Below are 19,372 nucleotides of genomic sequence, written 5' to 3'. Positions count from 1 at the left end.
ACAGGCATGAGCCTGGCCCCAAGGAACTATTTGGATAAGGAGAAGCCCTGAGTTTGGAAAGAATCATAAAAGTAGCATAGAATTGGGCCGGGCACAGCGGCTCACACCTGTAATCTCAGCACTTTGGGAGACCAAGGTGGGCAAATCATGAGGTCAGGAGTTTGAGACCAGCCTGCCCAACGTAGTGAAACCCTGTCTCTATTAAAAATACAAAAATTAGCTGGGAGTGGTAGCGCACACCTCTAATCCCAGCTACTCAGATGGCTGATGCAGGAGAATCCCTTGAACCCAGAAGGCAGAGACTGCAGTGAGCTGACATCGCACCACTGTACTCCAGCCTGGGCAACACAGTGAGACTGTCTATAAAAAAAAAAAAAAAAAAAGTATCCAGCCATTGTCAAATATGGTGGGAGGGAAAGGGCAAAATCACCCTTGTTTTAGAACCACTACCCTATCCAATGACTGTTCATTCACCCATCACTACTCAAAACTTTCTCTTCCTACTTCCAGATATTTTCTTGTGGAGAAAAAAAGCCTCTCTTCCTCTGATTTATCTGGTAACTCTCCAGAAAGTCTAATTGTGTAGCACAAGGGTAGAGTGTACTTAAAATTGTGAAAGTTTTTCCTCATACTATTCCAAAAAAAGCAAAGTTTTTATCTTTTCATTGGTATTTGATGAAACTAAAACGTTTTCTCCAGATGTTACGAACCTCCCAGAGAGTTAATCCATAAATATTTACCTTATCTCCCACCCCAGGCACTGCAAATTACAGAAAAGATCTGACACCCATTTTCCAGATCTGTTCAAGAAGTATCTGTTGGGCATGGTGGCTCACGCTTATAATCCCATCACTTTGGGAGGCCGAGGTGGGAAGATCGCTTGAGGCCAGGAGTTCGAGACCAGCCAGGCCTACATAGTGAAACCCTGTCTCTACTAAAAACAGAAAAAATTAGCCGGGCGTGGGTGGTGTACGGCTGTAGTCTCAGCTACTTGGGAGGCAGAGGCAGGAGAATCACCTGAACCCAGGAGGTGGAGGTTGCAGTGAGCCGAGATTGCGCCACTGCACTCCAGCCTGGGTGACAGAACGAGACTGTGTCTCAGAAAAAAAAAAAAAAAAAGTGACTCGTATAGTTCTTGTTTTTACAACCCGAATATCTGAATTCAGGTAAAATATTCTGCCTGACCAGGGCTACATGATAAGCCACGTACTTGATCACTTTGTAGGGTCGCAGCACCCTTCTTACTACTATTTTAGGTAATTCAGGTTTCTGACGGGGAAGCCAGTGGAGCTGAGCGGGCTGCAAGAGGGGTGGGTTCTGGATGAGAAGTTGGGACGCGTGACGAGGGAGTAGAGAGTGAACCTTGGCTTAAAAGGAAGGAAAATAACTGTGAAGAAAAGATGACCCAACTTGAAATAAAACCTGAAGACCTTATCTCCCACTTGAGAGAGAGAAGAAGCTGAAAGCCATCAGCTTGCACTCTGGGCTCACAGACAGAGAGGGTGAGGGGTTGAGCCCAGATCTATGACTTCAGACCCCTGTCTCGGCCCCTAGGCCTGATCATTCATTCAAACTCTCAATAAACACGGATTACCAGACCCTGCGCAGGGAACACATCTGGGAAAACAGCTGCAACCTCGGATACCAGCACGGGACAAGCTATCTCAGGGCAATGAGGAACAACTAAAGAGAATCCCAGGAACCAGGTAACCAATCGCCAGAAGCCCTCCGCCCTCATGGTCCATTGGGTCAAGGCCCCACTGCCGCCTCGTATCGCCAGCCTCCAGTCCTGCCTCCACGACGCGCCCTTCCCCAAGGCTGGCCGGGTCTGGATGTCGCCATCCCCTATTCGGAGCTACAGACCTCGCAGCTGAACTCTTAAAAAGAACCTCGCTTCTTCCTCACGGTGCTCCAGCTCCACACACCGTACTGAGCCTCGCCAGCCACCGTACGCGAGGTCGCGGCGCGTCCGTGACGTCACTGATGTGCGCTTCTCCCGCACTAAGGGAAACATGGCTCTAACGCGGCCGGTGCGGCTCTTTTCCCTCGTGACTCGGTTGCTCCTGGCGCCGCGACGGGGCCTCACGGTCCGCAGTCCCGACGAACCCCTGCCGGTGGTGCGCATCCCAGTGGCTCTACAGCGGCAGTTGGAACAGCGGCAGAGCAGGCGGCGGAACCTCCCGAGGCCGGTGCTGGTTCGACCCGGACCGCTGCTGGTTTCGGCGCGGCGGCCGGAGTTGAACCAGCCGGCGCGCCTCACACTGGGCCGTTGGGAGCGCGCGCCGCTAGCCTCTCAAGGCTGGAAGAGTCGACGCGCGCGTCGGGACCACTTCTCCATCGAGCGCGCGCAACAGGAGGCGCCAGCGGTGCGAAAGCTCTCGTCTAAGGGCAGCTTTGCTGACCTGGGCCTGGAGCCCCGTGTGCTGCACGCACTACAGGAGGCTGCGCCTGAAGTCGTTCAGCCCACAACCGTGCAGTCTAGCACCATCCCCTCACTACTTCGCGGCCGCCATGTCGTTTGCGCCGCAGAAACCGGCAGTGGCAAGACTCTCAGCTACCTCCTGCCGCTGCTTCAACGGCTCTTGGGCCAGCCAAGCCTGGACTCCCTTCCTATCCCCGCGCCCCGAGGCCTGGTCCTTGTTCCTTCCCGAGAATTGGCCCAACAGGTGCGGGCTGTGGCCCAACCCTTGGGCCGCTCCTTGGGCCTGCTGGTGCGGGACCTGGAGGGAGGCCACGGCATGCGTAGGATCAGGCTGCAGCTGTCCAGACAGCCTTCAGCAGATGTGCTTGTGGCCACTCCAGGGGCTCTGTGGAAGGCCCTGAAAAGTCGACTGATCAGTCTGGAGCAACTCTCCTTCTTGGTGTTGGATGAGGCAGACACACTGCTGGATGAAAGCTTCCTGGAACTGGTGGACTACATCTTAGAGAAGAGCCACATAGCAGAAGGCCCAGCTGACTTGGAAGACCCCTTCAATCCCAAAGCTCAGTTAGTGCTGGTAGGAGCCACATTTCCCGAAGGTGTAGGCCAGTTGCTGAATAAAGTCGCCAGCCCAGATGCTGTCACCACCATCACCAGCTCCAAGCTCCACTGTATCATGCCTCATGTGAAACAGACATTTCTGAGACTGAAGGGAGCAGATAAGGTGGCCGAGCTGGTGCACATCCTCAAGCATCGTGACAGAGCAGAAAGGACTGGTCCCTCAGGAACTGTTCTGGTGTTCTGTAATAGCTCCAGCACTGTGAACTGGCTGGGATATATTCTGGATGACCACAAAATCCAACACCTAAGGTTGCAGGGGCAAATGCCAGCCTTGATGAGGGTAGGAATCTTCCAGTCCTTCCAGAAGAGCTCCCGAGACATACTTCTCTGCACAGACATAGCCTCTCGGGGCCTGGACAGCACTGGTGTGGAGCTGGTTGTCAATTATGATTTCCCCCCAACGCTGCAAGATTACATCCACAGAGCAGGGAGAGTGGGCCGTGTGGGGAGCGAGGTGCCAGGCACCGTCATCAGTTTTGTGACCCATCCCTGGGATGTGAGCCTGGTTCAGAAGATTGAGCTGGCGGCTCGCCGAAGGAGAAGTCTTCCAGGACTAGCATCCTCGGTGAAAGAGCCTTTGCCCCAAGCAACCTGATTTTGACAAATCTGATTAAAATGTGATGCTAGAACAGGGATCTTTCCCAGTATCTTGAGTGGGTGACCACACTTGTCAGTGGGAGGCTCTGGGCTGCCCTGTCGGCTCCTTGAGGGCGGGATGAACTGCTTTGTGACTTGGAAAGGTACGCTGCTGGCCAGCATTGGAGAAGAAGCTGCTGAGCATGGCTTTCTGTAGTCTTTAGCAAGACACAAGTGGATTTTGACTTTGTATCATGTCATGATTTCTAACAATAAATGATGTTTTTATGTGCCTCCCCTAAGAATAATTAGCACCGGGGCGGAATTCAGTAGTTTCTGAGGATTCATACACCAAACCTCCACATCTAGGACAAAGGCTCTTTCAGTTGATGTTTTCATTTATAAACATTTAGTTTGTATTTCCTGCCCCCAAAAAGGTATCCATTAAGCCCCCAGGGAAAGGAAAGGAAAGGAAATGTGACTAGCAGTAGACAGAGTTACTCTCTAACAATGCCCAAGACAAACGGGCGTCTTGGCGAAATCTCTGGAAGGTACTGGCAGAAAAGTAAAGGGTAGACGAACACAGAAGTTTTGCTTGTACATTTTCAGGTTCTGCCTTCTATCCCAACTCGGTAGCCGAGAAAGAGGAGAGATGATTAAACGGTTTTACAAAACTGGAAAAATAACCATATAGCATTTTCTTTATATATATATATACGTATATATATATATATATATATATATATACATACGTATATATATATATACACATACATATATATACGTATATATATATATGTATATATATATATACGTGTATATATATATACGTGTATATATATATGTGTATATATATATATACACAAAAAAAAATTACAAAAATCAACCCGGCGTGGTGGCACGCGCCTGTAGTCCCAGCTACTCGGGAGGCTGAGGCAGGAGAATCACTTGAACCTGGGAGGCGGAGGTTGCAGTGAGCCAAGATCATACCACTACACTCCAGCCTAGGGGACAGAGCAAGACTCCATCTCAAAAAAAAAAAAAAAAAAAAGCCGGGTGTGGTGGCTCACGCCTGTAATGCCAGCACTTTGGGAGGCTGAGGCAGGAGGATCACCTGAGGTCAGGAGTTTAAGACCAGCCTGGTAAACATGCGAAACCCCATCTCTATTAAAAATACAAAAAAATTAGCTGAATGTGGTGGTGCACGCCTGTAATCCCAAATACTTGGGAGGCTGAGGCACAAGAATGGCTTGAATTCTGGAGGCGAAGGTTTCAGTGAGCCAAAATTGCACTTCTGCACTCCAGCCTGGGTGACAGAGCTGATATTCTGTCTCAAAAAAAATAACAGAATCCTGAGCCCCACTCCAGATGGGATTAAGCTCTCTAAAGTTTGACCTGAGAATACTCTTTGTAAACTCCCCCAGGTGATACTTGGGCCCTCCCAAATTGATAAACCATTTGTCTATGCTGTACTGCCTTTCCCAGAGTCCCAGCAAATTCCTGTAAGGCTTTGTACCCCCACAAGACAAGAGGGATGCTTCCGGACAAGTACTCTCTCCAGAGCCTTGGAGAATCTGAGTGATCTCATGCTAGCCCTCCTGCCAGAACAGACTTCCCAGGAACCATCCCCTTGATATTTTACCTCCTACCACTCCCTGCAGGCCATCAATTAGCACCACACTAAAGCAACTTATGAGAGAAGGTGCTATGATTCTCAACCGGGGTGACCCAGTCTCCAAAGATCGGGCCGTCTCTACCTCCTGGGCATATCCCCTCTGCAATAACCCCACTAAATAAATGTCCCATGTTTGCTTTTTCAAGGCCAGTAATAGGGAGACCTCTCCTTAAGGTCATCTCTCTTTGGTAGGAAGTTCTTGGCCACACTGAACCAAAGGCTGCTCCTAGTGTGGTCCTGATCAGGCTAAGGGCAGAGTTGCCTGTTTCCTTTGAGTAGGACCAAATCGCCTTTTTTTAAATATAAAAAAAATAGACACAAGGTCTAGCTATGTTACCCACGCTGGTCTCAAATTCCTGGGCTCAAGAGATACTCCTGCCTCCACCTCGCAAAGTGCTAGGATTACAGGTGTGAGCCGCCACGCCTGGCCCTAATGACCTTTTGGTACCTCTCCACAGTGCTGACCTGGGCTGCTGCTGGGAGCTAAACCTCATCCTTTCATAGTGATAAGATTGTCATTGTTTGCCTATTTAAAGAGAGGGCAGTGTAATGATAAGGTTATGATTTTGTATTGTTATCTTTTTTTTTTTTTTTGAAACAGAGTCTTAACTCTGTCACCCAGGCTGGAGTGCAGTGGCACAATCTCGGCTCACTGCAACCTCTGCCTCCCAAGTTCAAGCAATTCTCGGGCCTCAGCCTCCTGAGTAGCTGGGATTAGAGGTGCACACCACCATGCCCGGCTAGTTTTTATATTTTTAGTAGAGACAGAGTTTTGCCATGTTGGCCAGGCTGGTTGTGAACTCCTGGCCTCAAGTGACCCGCCTGCCTCAGCCTCCCAAAGTGCTGGGATTACAGACATGAGCCAAGGCACCTGGCCAGTCATTTGGGATTCTTATCTTGTCATGAATTTGTTTGAATTTCATGTTAAAATAGGTTCATCTGTAGACGTGACATCTCACTCCTATAATCTCAGCACTTTGGGAGGCCAAGGCAAGAGGATCACTTGAGGCCAGGAGTTCCAGGTTACAGTAAGCTATGATGGTGCCACTGTATTCTAGCCTGGATGACAAAATGAGACCCTGTTTCTGAAAAAAGAATAAATTTTAAAAATAGAACCATCATTCGCACTTCATACAGTCATTTGGGAGCCTCATTTTGCCTTGGGGCACATTTAACATACCTCCAGTGTACATCACCTTTAAATGTGATGAGCTTGTCCTCACATTCTTAACAGCTATAATTCTGGAGCCCCAAATGAAGCCCTGCGGATCAGAATGCCTCTCTGCTACCTGTATGACCTTGGATGGACCCCTAACCTCTTGGCGTTCTTGAATCTTAGGTGGTAAAAATGTGAGGGTGCTATGAATTTACATTTGGGGCAGAACAAAGTCAAGAAGAGCCTGTATGTTTTCAGTCTTCTTAACTGGAACGTATTCCCTCTCCTATTGAAACCGCCATTGCAAAATTACAACCGAGAGAGTGAAAGAGATTTGACCTAACCAGCTCCATCGTGCTTCTAACCTCCAAGCTGTCCTTGTTCATTCCTGGGCATAGGCTGAACTAACTTTGGGAGGAACTTAGTTTATAGTTTATAGTTTAAAACAAAGAAGATAACAGCCCTTTCCCAAAAGAAACCCCCTTCATGCCTGGGGACTAGACTGCCTTTGTAGGACTAACAAAATCAGCCAAAAGATTAGAAATTATGGTTTAGGAGTCATGCAGCTAGAGGCTACAAGATTCTTTTTTTTTTTTTGAGATGGAGTCTCACTGTTGTTGCCCAGGCTGGAGTGCGGAGGCGCTATCTTGACTCACTGCAACCTCCGCCTCCCGGGTTCAAGCAATTCTCCTGCCTCAGCCTCCTGAGTAGCTGGGATTACAGGCACCCACCACCACGCCCAGCTAATTTTTTGTATTTTTAGTAGAGACGAGTTTCACCATGTTACCCAGGCTGGTCTTGAACTCTTGACCTCAGGTGATCCACCCACCTCAGCCTCCCAAAGTGCTGGGATTACAGGCGTGAGCCACTGTGCCCGGCCGAGGCTACAAGATTCTGACCAGTCCCCAAATTGCTCTTGGGGATAACATCACTATATAAAACCTAAGATCATGCTCGCTTCAGCAACACATATACTAAAATTGGAACTATACAGAGAAGATGAGCACAGCCCCTTGTGCAAGGATGACATGCAAATCCATGAAGCGTTCCATATTTGTTAATTTTTTAATTTTTTTTAAATTATATACCTAGGCCGGGTATGGTGGCTCATGCCTGTAATCTCAGAACTTTGGGAGGCCGAGGCATCTGTCTCAAAATATATATATATGTGTGTGTGTGTGTGTGTGTGTGTGTGTGTACATATATACATACATACGTGTCATATATATGTTATATATTATATATATGACATAGTATCAGTGCTTGAGATATTTTGCACACCCTACACTTGATTGGCTGGGCGCAGTGGCTCACGCCTGTAATCCCAACACTTTGGAAGGCCAAGGCAGGCGGATCCCTTGAGGACGGGGGAGTTTGAGAGCAGACTGGCCAACATGGCAAAACCCTGTCTCTACTAAAAATACAAAAATTAGCTGGGCGTGGTGGCAGGTGCCTGTAGTCCCAGCTTCTCAGGAGGCTGAGACACGAGAATCCCTTGAAGGGGAGGTTGCGGTGAGTCAAGATCATTGCACCACTGTACTCCAGCCTGGGCAACAGAGTGAGACTCTGTCTCAAAAAACATAAATAAAATAAAAAAGACCTTGCACTTGATGGATCAGCTGACACCACCCAGATTAATCTTGTGGCTCCCCCACCCAGGAACTGACTCGGCAAGAGGATACTTTCGACTACCTAAGATTTCTTTTTTTTTTCCTTTGAGATGGAGTCTCACTCTGTCGCCTAGGCTGGAGTGCAGTGGCATGATCTTGGCTCACTGCAATCTCTGCCTCCTGGGTTTCAGTGCTTCAGCCTCCCAGGTAGCTAGCTGGGGTTACAGACAGCGCCACCACGCCCGGCTAACTTTTTGTTTTTGTTGTTGTTTTTGAGACAGAGTCTCGCTCTGTCACTAGGCTGGAATGCAATGGCTGGATCTCAGCTCACTGCAACCCACACCTCCCAGATTCAGGATTCTTCTGCCTCAGCCTCCCAAGTAGCTGGGACTACAGGCACATGCCACCACACCCAGCTAAATTGTATTTTTAGTAGAGACAGGGTTTCACCATATTGGCCAGGATGGTCTCGATCTCTTGACCTCGTGATCCGCCCACCTTGGCCTCCGAAAGTGCTGGGATTACAGGCATGAGCCACCGCGTCCAGCCTAATTTTTGTTTTTTTAGGGGTTTCACCATGTTGGCCAGGCTGGTCAGCCTCCCAGAGTGCTGGGATTACAAGCACGAGCTGCCACGCCCAAGCTGACTCCCTATGATTTCATCTCTGACCCAACCAATCAGCTTTCCGGACTCACTGCCCACCACCCACCAAATTATCTTTAAAAACTCTGATCCCTGAATGCTTAGGGAGACTGATTTGAGTAATAAAACTCCAGTCTCCCGCACAGCTAGCTCTGCGTGAATTACTCTTTATTGCAATTTCCCTGTCTTGATAAATCAGCTTTGTCTAGGCAGTGGCAAGGGGAACACGTTGGGCAGTTACTCTTTGCGTGTGTCCAGATCTCACCAGTCCTTCAAGTCCAGCTCGAAGGAGCCTTCCATGATCCCTTTGTCCATCCCAATCTCTGCCTCTCCTGCTGTTGATTGCTTAGCACCAGTGCGTGGCTACCTATCTATCTCTTAGATTAATCTTGCCTCTCCAGCTCATATCAGAATTTAGGTTTCTCTTGCCCTCCTGTGGTCACTGGGGCTTGTACCAGCCGACAGATGTGCCCCACAGAGTGGCTACTAGGCATTTGTAGGGAGGGCTGGATGGGAGGGCCCAGGCAGGATTCCTCTCTATCTCTGCCCTGCTCTCCTCCACAAAACCCTGAAGGCCTGAAGCCTGCCCCTTAAGTCACAGATTCCTTAGGTGACTTCACAGGGTAGTGATGACCTCACAAGCTTCCAAAGTTTCCATGGCAGCGTGACTACACACCTGCGTCCTAGAGAAGCCTCCCTACCATTTCTCTGTAAGATACCAATCTGTTTGGTTGGCTGAGAGAGAATGACTGACCGGATCCTCTATATTGTCTCTAACATGTCCTCTGTCCCCTGGGAGGGCAGCGCAGCAGGTAGGCATACAGGGGGCATCTATACAGGAGGCGTTGCTGTACCCACAGCTTCACCTGGCTGACACATTCCTTCTGGGCTGGCCCACCACACCTCGAGCTTTCCCAGCCATAAGTAATATCGAGGGCGTGGCCACTCAGGGACCCACAGTGTTCCTGCTCAGGGCAAGTTCACCTGCTAAGGGCAAGTGAAATGTCATCTGAGCAGGTGCTCAGAAAGGTTCTCATCTTTTTTTTTTTTTTTTTTTTTTAATTGAGATGGGGTCTTGCTATGTTGCTGGGGCTGGTCTGAATTTTTTTTTTTTTTTTTTTTTTTTTTGAGACAGGTTCTCTGTCGTCCAGGTTGGAGCACACTGGCATAATCACAGCTCACTGAAACCTCAACTTCCTGGGCTCAGGGGATTCTCCCAACTCGTCTCCCTAGTAGCTGGGACTACAGGCACGCGCCACCACACCCAGCTAATTTTTTCTCTTTTTAGTAGTGACAGGGTTTCGCCATGTTGCCTAGGCTGGTCTTGAACTCCTGAGCTCAAGCGATCGGCCCACCTCAGCCTCCCAAAGTGCTAGGATTACGGGCGTGAGGCACTGTGCCTGGCCCACCAATTTGTATTAGATCTTTTTATTTTAGTCTCGCTCTGTCACCCAGGCTGGAGTGCAGTGGCACAATATTAGATCCTTTTTTTCTTTTTCTTTTTCTTTTTTGAGACAGTGTCTCGCTCTGTCACCCAGGCTGGAATGCAGTGGTGCGATCTTGGCTCACTGCAACCTCCGCCTCCCAGGTTCAAGCGATTCTCCTGCCTCAGCCTCCCAAGCAGCTGGGACTACAGGTGCGTGCCACCATGCCTGACTAATTTTTTGTATTTTTAGTAGAGATGGGGTTTCACCATGTTGGCCAGGCTGGTACTCCTGGGCTCAAGTGATCCTCCCTCCTCAGTTTCCCAAAGTGCTGAGATTATAAGCGTGAACCACCCCACCTGGCTGATAGTAGATCATTTTTTACAAAACTTGAAAATAATTTCCATTAAAGCCTGAGATGTGACAGACCTTAAGAAATGTATTTTTGGTCATGGAAGGGATGAGGAGGATCTCCTGGTCTCCTGCTGCTGACACAGGCTCCACATAACTGCTTTCACAGCCAGCATCCTGTCTCAGGGACACATAGAGGTGATAGGCCAAGGCTGTGTCTGGGATGCGAAGAAGATGAAAGGACTTCTTAGGAAGAGTCGCGAGAGAGGGTAGGCTGTAACAGCACAATGTATAAGGTAAAAGTGACTAATTCTGGTTTTCTTTCCAGCTGCAGTGCCTGCCACTTCTCCTCCCACACCTGGGCACTACCATGTTCTCTACCGAGGGTGTGGAGAAACTCAGGTAGGCTGGCATGGGGAGACGTACTGCCTGGTTGGTGGCTACCGGGTCCATGGGGATGCTCCTTTGGCCACCCCAACAAAGGCTGAAGCAGAGAAGCCAGCCCCCAGGCGTGCTCCCAAGAGACGTCAAGCTACGATAGAGTCAGATAAAGACCTGGGTTGCTCTAGCCCCAAAATTCGGCGCTTGGAGCATCGTGGCAGGAGACTGACCCCACAGAAGCTTGCTGGCTGAGCCATTTGGGAGAAAGGACAAATGTTTAGCTGTCTAAGACAGCTAATGCCTCTTCTGCGGTGACCTCCCCTGCCCACCACTGCAGATAGAGCCTGAGTCATTCTGCCTATGCCTTCCTCATCCAGAAGCCCCCTTCCATGCTAACTACCCATGGCCAAGGAGCCTCAGAAACTGTGGTTTAAAATGAGAGGTTGCTTTGAACATCCCAAGGCTGAAGACGGCCTGGAAGAAAACCTGATGTTCCTCTACTCATCTCTCCAGAGTCCCTTTTTGGGCAGAAGATAGAAATAGTCTGCACTCTGCTAGCCGAGGAGTCAAGTGCAGAGAGGGAGTGCAGCATAGCCCAGTAAGGGCTTGATCTACCAGATGGGTCTTTGCTTTGAGTCACTGCCAGCAACTACCAGCACAAACCAGGAGGGCCAGGACTTGCTGAAACTGGAAGCAGCAGCCCATGGCTAGTCACAGCAGGAGAAAGCCTCCTGCTTGGCATCTCAGGAGGTAGAAGAAAGAGACCTGGGGAGACCTGCCACCTACAGCAAGAACAATAAGGAGGAAGTTGAGCAACATCCCCCTGAAGCTCACATGTTACTTTATTTCCTGCCCATTATGGCCCCAGTGAGGTCCCTACTGCTCAATTTAAAAAAAAATTAAAAAAATTATTTTTCCATAACAGTATTTGACTTGATCATCTTTTTTTTTTTTCTTTTTTGACGGAGTCTCACTCTGTCACCCAGGCTGGCGTGCAGTGGCACTATCTCGGCTCCCTGCAAGCTCCACCTCCTGGGTTCACGCCATTCTCCTGCCTCAGCCTCCCTGGTAGCTGGGACTACAGGCGCCCGCCACCACACCCAGCCAATTTTTGTATTTTTAGCAGAGACGGGGTTTCACCATGTTGGCCAGGATGGTCTTGATCTCCTGACCTCAAGATCTGCCCGCGTTGGCCTCCCAAAGTTCTGGGATTATAGGCATGAGCCACCATACCCAGCCTCTTTCTTCCTCCTCTTCTTATTCTTCTTCCTTCTTCCTTCTTTCTTCTTCTTCTCCTTCTCCTTCTCCTCCTTCTTCTTCCTCTTTTCTCTCTCTCTCTTAGATGGGGTCTCGGCCAGGCACAGTGGCTCAGTCCTGTAATCCCTGCACTTTGGGACGCTGAGGCAGTGGATCACCTAAGGTCAGAAGTTTGAGACCAGCCTGGCCAGCACAATGAAACCCCATCTTACTAAAAATACAAAAAATTGGCCAGGCGTGGTGGCTCACGCCTGTAATCCCAGCACTTTGGGAGGCCGAGGTGGGCGGATCACGAGGTCAGGAGATTGCGACCATCCTAACATGGTGAAACCCCATCTCTACTAAAAAATACAAAAAATTAGCCAGGCGTGGTGGCGGGTGCCTGTAGTCCCAGCTACTCGGGAGGCTGAGGCAGGAGAATGGCATGAACCCGGGAGGCAGAGCTTGTGGTGAGCCGAGATAGTGCCACTGCACTAAAGCCTGGGCGACATCCGTATCAAAACAAAAAAAAAAATACAAAAACTTAACTGGTCATGGTGGTGGGCACTTGTAATCCCAGCTACTCAGGAACCTCAGGCAGGAGAATCACTTGAACCTGGGAGGCAAAGGTTGCAGTGAGCCGAGATCATGCCACTGCACTCCAATCTGGGCAACAAGAGTGAAACTCTGTCTAAAAAAAAATAAAAAAAAAAAGGCCAGGCGCTGTGGCTCACACCTGTAATCCCAACACTTTGGGAGGCAGAGGCGGGCGGATCACAAGGTCAGGAGATCAAGACCATCCTGACTAACACAGTGAAACCCCGTCTCTCCTAAAAATACAAAAAATTAGTCAGTTGTGGTGGCAGGCACCTGTAGTCTCAGCTACTTGAGAGGCTGAGGCAGGAGAATGGCATGAACCCGGGAGGCGGAGCTTGCAGTAAGCCAAGATCACGCCACTGCACTCCAGCCTAGGCGACAGAGCGACACTCCATCTCAAAAAAAAAAAAAAAAAAGATGGGGTCTTGCCGTGTTGTCCAGGCTGGTCTTGAACTCCTGGGCTCAAGTGACCCATCTGCCTCAGCCTCCCAAATAAATAAAAATTTAAAAAAGAAACGCAGAGCCTGGCCGGCCACAGTGGCTCACATCTGTAATCCCAATACTTTGGGAGGCCAAGATGGGAGAATTGCTTGAAGCCAGGAGTTCAAGACGAGCTTGGGCAAGTAGTGAGATCCTGTCTCTACAAAAATAAAAATAATTAGTTAGGTATGGTGGGGTGCACCTATAGTCCTAGCCATCTGGGGGGCTGAGGCGTGAGGATCGCTTAAAGCCAGGAGTTGAAGGCTGCAGTAAGCTATGATCATACCACTGCATTTCAGCAGTCTGGGTGACTGGGTGACACAACGAGACCCTGTCTCAAAAAAGAAAGAAAAAAAGAAAAGCTAAAAAAATGTAGAGCCCAGTGAGTGTTTCCGTGTGTGTGTGTGTGTTTTAGAGAGTGTTAGGAGAGGGACAAAATAACTAAGAAGATGCTGCTCCATCTATCCACTCATCCATTCATTCATTTATTCAACAAGTATTTATTGGGCACTTTTTTTTTTTGTTTGACACAGAGTTTTCTCTCCTGTTGCCCAGGCTAGAGTGCAGTGGCACGATCTCGGCTCACTGCAGCCTCCGCCTTCCGAGTTCAAGCGATTCTCCTGCCTCAGCCTCCTGAGTAGCCGGGACTACAGGGGCACACCCCCACACCCGGCTAATTTTTGTATTTTTAGTAGAGATGGGATTCACCATATCGGTCAGGCTGGTCTCGAACTCGTAACCTCAGGCGATCCACCCACCAAAGTGCTGGGATTACAGACATAAGCCACCGCACCCGGCCTATTGAGCACTTCTTACATACCAGCCACTGTGCTGGTTGCTTGGGATATATTGGTGAATGAGAAACTCCTCCCCTCAAGGCACCCACAAACAATATAATTTGTTCATAGAGACAAACAATATAATTTTTGTTGTTGTTGTTGTAGTTGTTTTTCTTGAGACGGAGTCTCGCTCTGTCACCCAGTCTGGAGTGGCGCGATCTAGGCTCACTGCAAGCTCTGCCTCCTGGGTTCACGCCATTGTCCTGCCTCAGCCTCCCCAAACAATATAATTTTAGATAACTATAACTGGTATAAAGAAAAATGAAACTGGATAAGAGAATACAGTAATGAGGTGTGCTGTGTTACACCAGGTGGTTAGGGAAGGCTTCTCTGAGATGATGACATTGTGGCTGAGATGTGAGGGAATCGTGAGGAGTAGAAGGGAGAGCATTACTGGAGGAAATTTCAAGTATAATGGTAAGAATGAGACTGATCCATTTTTTCTTTTTTTGAGGTGGGGTCTCACTTTGTCTCCCAGGATGGCGTACAATGGTGCGACCTTGGCTCGTTGCAACCTCTGCCTCTCAGGTTCAAGTGATTCTCCTGCCTCAGCCTCCTGAGTAGCTGGGACTAGAGGCACATGCCACTACACTCGGCTAATTTTTGTGTTTTTAGTAGAGATGGGGTTTCACTATGTTTGCCAGGCTGGTCTTAAACTGCAGACCTCAGGTAATCCGCCAGCGTTGGCCTCCCAGGGTGCTAGGATTACAGGTGTGAGCCAACACACCCGGCCTACAAGACTGACCAATTTGAGGGCCAGCAGAAAGGCCAGTGTGGCCAGGGAAGAAAGATAGAGGAGATTGAAAGATGTGGTGGCTGGGAGGCCAAGGAGGGAGGGTCACTTGAGCCCAGGAGTTTGAGACCAGCCTGGCAACATAGGGAGGTGCCCTTTCTACAAAAAATCAAAAAATCAGCTGGGTGTGGTGGTGAATGCCTGTGGTCCCTAGCTACTCAGGAGGCTGAGGCAGGAGGATTGCTTGAGCCTAGGAGGTATAGGCTGCAACGAGCCATGATCCTGCCACTGCACTCCAGCCTAGGCAACGAGTGAGACTCTGTCAGAAAGAAAGAAAGGAAGGAAGGAAGGAAGGAAAGATGGAAGGAAGGAAGGAAGGAAGGAAGGAAGGAAGGAAGGAAGGAAGGAAGGAAGGAAGGAAGGAAAAAAAAATAAGATGGTTGGAGGCCAGGTGCAGTGGCTCACTCCTGTAATTCCAGCAATTTGGGAGGCTGAGGCTAGTGGATCACCTGAGGTCAGGAGTTCGAGACTAGCCTGGCCAACATGGTGAAACCCTGTCTCTACTAAAAAATACAAAAATTAGCTGGGTGTGGTGGCAGGCGCCTTAATCCCAGCTACTTGGGAGGCAGAGGCAGGAGAATCATTTGAACCCGGGAGGCGAAGGCTGCAGTGAGCCGAGATCGAGCCATTGCACTCAAGCCTGAGGGACAAGAGTGAGACTTGTCTCAAAAAAAAAAAGAAAGAAAAGAAAAAGGTGGTTGGAGAAGTAAGGAAGTAAGCAAGTAAGCATGGGCCAGACCATAGTGGGCCGTGCCAGCCACGGTAAGGACAGTGGATCTTGTTTTAAGTATATTGGGAAGTCATGGAGGAATCTGAATAAGGTAGGGAAGTAATCTGATATAGATGCTAAAAAGATCCGTCTGACTGCTGCGTGCCATGGTAGTGAGGTGCTGGCTGTTACCAGGGGGACTGTCTCTCTCTGCAGCTGGGACAGCTGGTGCTGGGGACTGGGGGATGGAGGAGCAGTCAGCAGAGAAGAAACACCATGACGTTTGTCCCAAGTCTGCCTGTATCAGCAGCCCAGAAAAAGGCGGCACTGTCAGCAACTCACTTGTCCTTAGGGGTCCCAGCAGCAAGACTGTTGCTCCTCCCCCCAACACGCATACCATGGAGGCCAGGAAAGGTCCTGATAGGTTTTCCTAACTTGGGTTAAAGGAAGGAGGCACAGGCCCTGGGCTCCCAGAAAGTTCCCTGTGAGAGTCTCCATTAACCCCCAGAGTCTCTCATCCGTGGCGTGACTGAAGCAGATTTGTGGTTCCTGGATGGCCTGGATAGTTTGGCAGTTCCCAAAGCTGAAACAAATAGACTCAACTGGGGCTCTTAAAAAAGAGTGATCCCGGCCAGGCGCAGTGGCTCACACCTGTAATCCCAGCACTTTGGGAGGCCAAGGCGGGGAGATCACGAGGTCAGGAGATCGAGACCATCCTGGCTAACACGGTGAAACTCCGTCTCTACTAAAAAATACAAAAAAAAAAAAAAAATTAGCCAGGTGTGGTGGTGGGTGCCTGTAGTCCCAGCTACGCGGGAAGCTGAGGCAGGAAAATGGCATGAACCCGGGAGGCGGAGCTTGCAGTGAGCTGAGATCGCGCCATTGCACTCCAGCCTGGGTGACAGAGCGAGACTCGGTCTTAAAAAAAAAAAAGTGATCCCCAGCACCCACACCAGTCTAAAGTTTTAGGGTACTGGCCTAGAAATCCACAGTATTAAAAGCTTCCCCTCAGCTGGCCATGGTGGCTCATGGCTGTAATCCCAGCACTTTGGGAGGCTGAGGTGGGAGGATTGCTTGAGCCCAAGAGTTCGAGACCAGCCTGGGCAACACAGCAGCACTCCATCTCTACAAAAAATATTAACAGTAAAGAATTAGAAAAAAAAATTTTAAATAAATAAAAGCTTGCCTTAACTACCAGTTTATAGAAAACACAAGGACACAGGAACATGTTAAATGACACCATGAGATGCAATCAGAAAACTCTACAACATGGAAAACTCTAACGGACAAGGACGTGATTTTTTCAACAAAGAAATTGCAAGGAAGACAAAAAAAAGAAGAACCTGAAGATTGAGTCATAACAACCATTTACAATGTGGGCGGTCTGAGCTCCATTACAGTTCAAACCAATGAATTATTTAAAAATTGGACAATCAGATAAATTTGAACATGATAGATAATTTATGATACTAAAGAATTGGGCTGGGCACGGTGGCTCATGCCTGTAATCCCAGCACTTTGGGAGGCAGAGGTGGGCGGATGACATGAAGTCAGGAATTCAAGACCAGCTTGACCAACATAATGAAACCCCGTCACTACTAAAAATACAAAAAAATTAGCCAGGTGTGTTAATGCGTGCCTGTAATCCCAGCTACTTGGGAGGCTGAGGCAGAAGAATCCCTTGAACCTGGGAGGTAGAAGTTGCAGAGAGCCAAGACCACGCCATTGCACTCCAGCCTGGGCAACAAAAACAAAACTCCGTCTCAAAAAAAAAAAAAAAAAAAGGCCGGGCGTGGTGGCTCACACCTGTAATCCCAGCACTTTGGGGAGGCCGAGGCGGGTGGATCACAAGGTCAGGAGATTGAGACCATCCTGGCTAACATGGTGAAACCCCATCTCTACTAAAAATACAAAAAATTAGCCAGGCGTGGTGGCAGACACCTGTAGTCCCAGCTACTCGGGAGGCTGAGGCAGGAGAATGGCATAAACCCGAGAGGCGGAGCTTGCAGTGAGCCGAGATGGCGCCACTGCACTCCAACCTGGGCGACAGAGCGAGACTCCATCTCAAAAAAAAAAAAAAAAGTGGCTGGGTGTGGTGGCTCATGCCTGTAATCACAGCACTTTGGGAGGCCAAAGAGGGAGGACTGCTTGAGCCCAGGAGTTCGTCACCAGCCTGGGGAATAAAACAGGACCCTGTCTCGGCCAGGCGCGGTGGCTCATGCCTGTAATCCCAGCACTTTGGGAGGCCGAGGCGGGTGGATCACGAGGTTAGGAGATCGAGACCATCCTGGCTAACATGGTGAAACCCCGTCTCTACTGAAAATACAAAAAAATTAGCTGGGCATGGTGGCGGGTGCCTGTAGTCCCAGCTACTCGGAAGGCGAGGCAGGAGAATGGCGTGAACGCAGGAGGCGGAGTTTGCAGTGAGCCGACATCACCCCACTGCGCTCCAGCCTGGGCAACAGAGGGAGACTCTGTCTCAAAAAAAAAAGACCCTGTCTCTACAAATTTTAAAAGAAAAGTACTGTTAACTTTTATAAGGGTCATAATGGTATGGTAATTGCCATTTATTTATATATTTATTTATTTTATTTTATTTTTCAGAAACAGGGTTTTAGTATGCTGCCCAGGCTGGCCTCAAACTCCTGGGCTCAAGCAATCCTCCTGTTTCAGCCTCCCAAATAGCTAGTAGGACTACAGGAATGGCCCAGTGCACCTGGCTTATAGTTGTCTTTTAAAAACAGCCATTACCATTTATTTATTTATTTATTTAGAGACTGAGTCTTTCTCTGCTGCCCAGGCTGGAGTACAGTGGCATGATCTCAGCTCACTGCAATCTCTGCCTCCTGGGTTCAAGCAGTTCTCCTGTCTCAGACTCCTGAGTAGCTGGGATTATAGGTGTCCTCCACGACAACCAGCTAATTTTTGTATTTTTAGCAGAGATGGGGTTCGCTATGTTAGCCAGGCTGGTCTCCAACTCCTGACCTCAGGTGATCCACCCACCTCAAGCTTCCAAAGTGCTGTGATTTCAGGCAAGAGCCACGTGCCCAGCCTAAAAAGAGCCCTTACCTTTTAGAGAGGCATACTTAAAAATGGATGAAATAGATGTCTATGATTTGCTTTAAAATAATCTGTAGAAAGAGGTGAGTGAGAGCATAAATGAAATAAGATGAGCCATCAGTTGGTAATCTTTGAAACTGGGTGATGGCTACATGGGAGTTAATACACTTTTCTCTCTCCTTTCTCATGTATTTGCAATTTTTCCTATAAAAAGTTTTTTGGTCTGGGCACAGTGGCTCATGCCTGTAATCCCAACACTGTGGGAGGCTAAGGTGGGAGGATCACTTGAGACCAGGGGTTTGAGACCAGCCTGGCAACATGGTGAAATCCCATCTCTACCAAAAAAAAAAAAAAAATTAGCTGGGTGTGGTGGCACCACCCTGTAGTCCCTGCTACTCGGGAAGCTGAGGTGAGAGGATCACCTGAGCCCCGAATTTGAGGCTACAGTGAGCCATGACGGCACCACTGCACTCCAGCCTAGGCCACAGAGGGAGATACAGTTTCAAAAAAAAAGTTTTGTGTTGTTGTTTTTAACTAAGCTTCTCAGATTCACCCAGATGCGGAGTCAGTGAGATCTCACATGGTCAGCTTCACAGGAGGGCAGGCTTTCTGCATAAAAACAGGAAGCTTAGAGAGCTCCGGGGCAGGGTGTGCTGTGACTTCACTGTGTTTTTGCAGAAACAGGTCTGATAGCCCTCGGAGATCAGCAGACAAGGTTAAGCAAGAGACAGCAAGTCTGAATTTGAGGTTAAATGTGAAATCACACATGTTGTCTAGATGTTTGGTCAGCACTGGCTCCTGGA

At 49.0% G+C, this 19,372-nt stretch overlaps 3 protein-coding genes and 1 pseudogene across 5 annotated transcripts in view, besides 4 other annotated features; 3 read left to right on the top strand and 1 right to left on the bottom strand.

The window, feature by feature from the left end:
- DUS2 (dihydrouridine synthase 2) overlaps positions 1 to 1,931 on the bottom strand; it is a 56,037-nt gene extending 54,106 nt beyond the window's left edge. For all 3 annotated transcript variants that reach the window (NM_017803.5, NM_001271763.2, NM_001271762.2), the window contains exon 1: positions 1,864 to 1,931. The gene's annotated coding sequence lies outside the window, so the exon portion shown is untranslated. The remainder of the gene's footprint in view (positions 1 to 1,863) is intronic.
- Positions 1,781 to 2,531: an enhancer, noted in NCBI's record as "NANOG-H3K27ac-H3K4me1 hESC enhancer chr16:68056587-68057337 (GRCh37/hg19 assembly coordinates)". NCBI's record gives its function as "activates a minimal SCP1, AML or CMV promoter by ChIP-STARR-seq in primed H9 embryonic stem cells {active_cell/tissue: H9 hESC(primed)}" and the evidence as "EXISTENCE:reporter gene assay evidence [ECO:0000049][PMID:30033119]".
- Positions 1,831 to 2,070: an enhancer, noted in NCBI's record as "active region_11002". NCBI's record gives its function as "activates an Ori minimal core promoter by ATAC-STARR-seq in GM12878 lymphoblastoid cells {active_cell/tissue: GM12878}" and the evidence as "EXISTENCE:reporter gene assay evidence [ECO:0000049][PMID:35858748]".
- On the top strand, positions 1,983 to 4,299 carry DDX28 (DEAD-box helicase 28). The gene has a single exon (NM_018380.4). The coding sequence runs from the start codon at positions 2,013 to 2,015 to the stop codon at positions 3,633 to 3,635; it is 1,623 nt and encodes a 540-aa protein (NP_060850.2). The 5' UTR covers positions 1,983 to 2,012; the 3' UTR covers positions 3,636 to 4,299.
- Positions 2,532 to 3,282: an enhancer, noted in NCBI's record as "NANOG-H3K27ac-H3K4me1 hESC enhancer chr16:68055836-68056586 (GRCh37/hg19 assembly coordinates)". NCBI's record gives its function as "activates a minimal SCP1, AML or CMV promoter by ChIP-STARR-seq in primed H9 embryonic stem cells {active_cell/tissue: H9 hESC(primed)}" and the evidence as "EXISTENCE:reporter gene assay evidence [ECO:0000049][PMID:30033119]".
- Positions 7,398 to 7,505, top strand: RNU6-359P (RNA, U6 small nuclear 359, pseudogene; annotated as a pseudogene).
- On the top strand, positions 9,304 to 11,779 carry DPEP2NB (DPEP2 neighbor). Its single transcript, NM_001282442.2, has 2 exons — positions 9,304 to 9,511; positions 10,803 to 11,779. Exons 1-2 carry the CDS (start codon positions 9,445 to 9,447, stop codon positions 11,105 to 11,107), a joined length of 372 nt encoding a protein of 123 aa, NP_001269371.1. The 5' UTR covers positions 9,304 to 9,444; the 3' UTR covers positions 11,108 to 11,779.
- Positions 17,856 to 18,629: an enhancer, noted in NCBI's record as "H3K27ac hESC enhancer chr16:68040489-68041262 (GRCh37/hg19 assembly coordinates)". NCBI's record gives its function as "activates a minimal SCP1, AML or CMV promoter by ChIP-STARR-seq in primed H9 embryonic stem cells {active_cell/tissue: H9 hESC(primed)}" and the evidence as "EXISTENCE:reporter gene assay evidence [ECO:0000049][PMID:30033119]".

Source organism: Homo sapiens, chromosome 16, assembly GCF_000001405.40.
Source record: "Homo sapiens chromosome 16, GRCh38.p14 Primary Assembly".
NCBI classification, from domain to species: Eukaryota; Metazoa; Chordata; class Mammalia; order Primates; family Hominidae; genus Homo; species Homo sapiens.
This window is presented reverse-complemented; position numbering and strand designations above follow the sequence as displayed.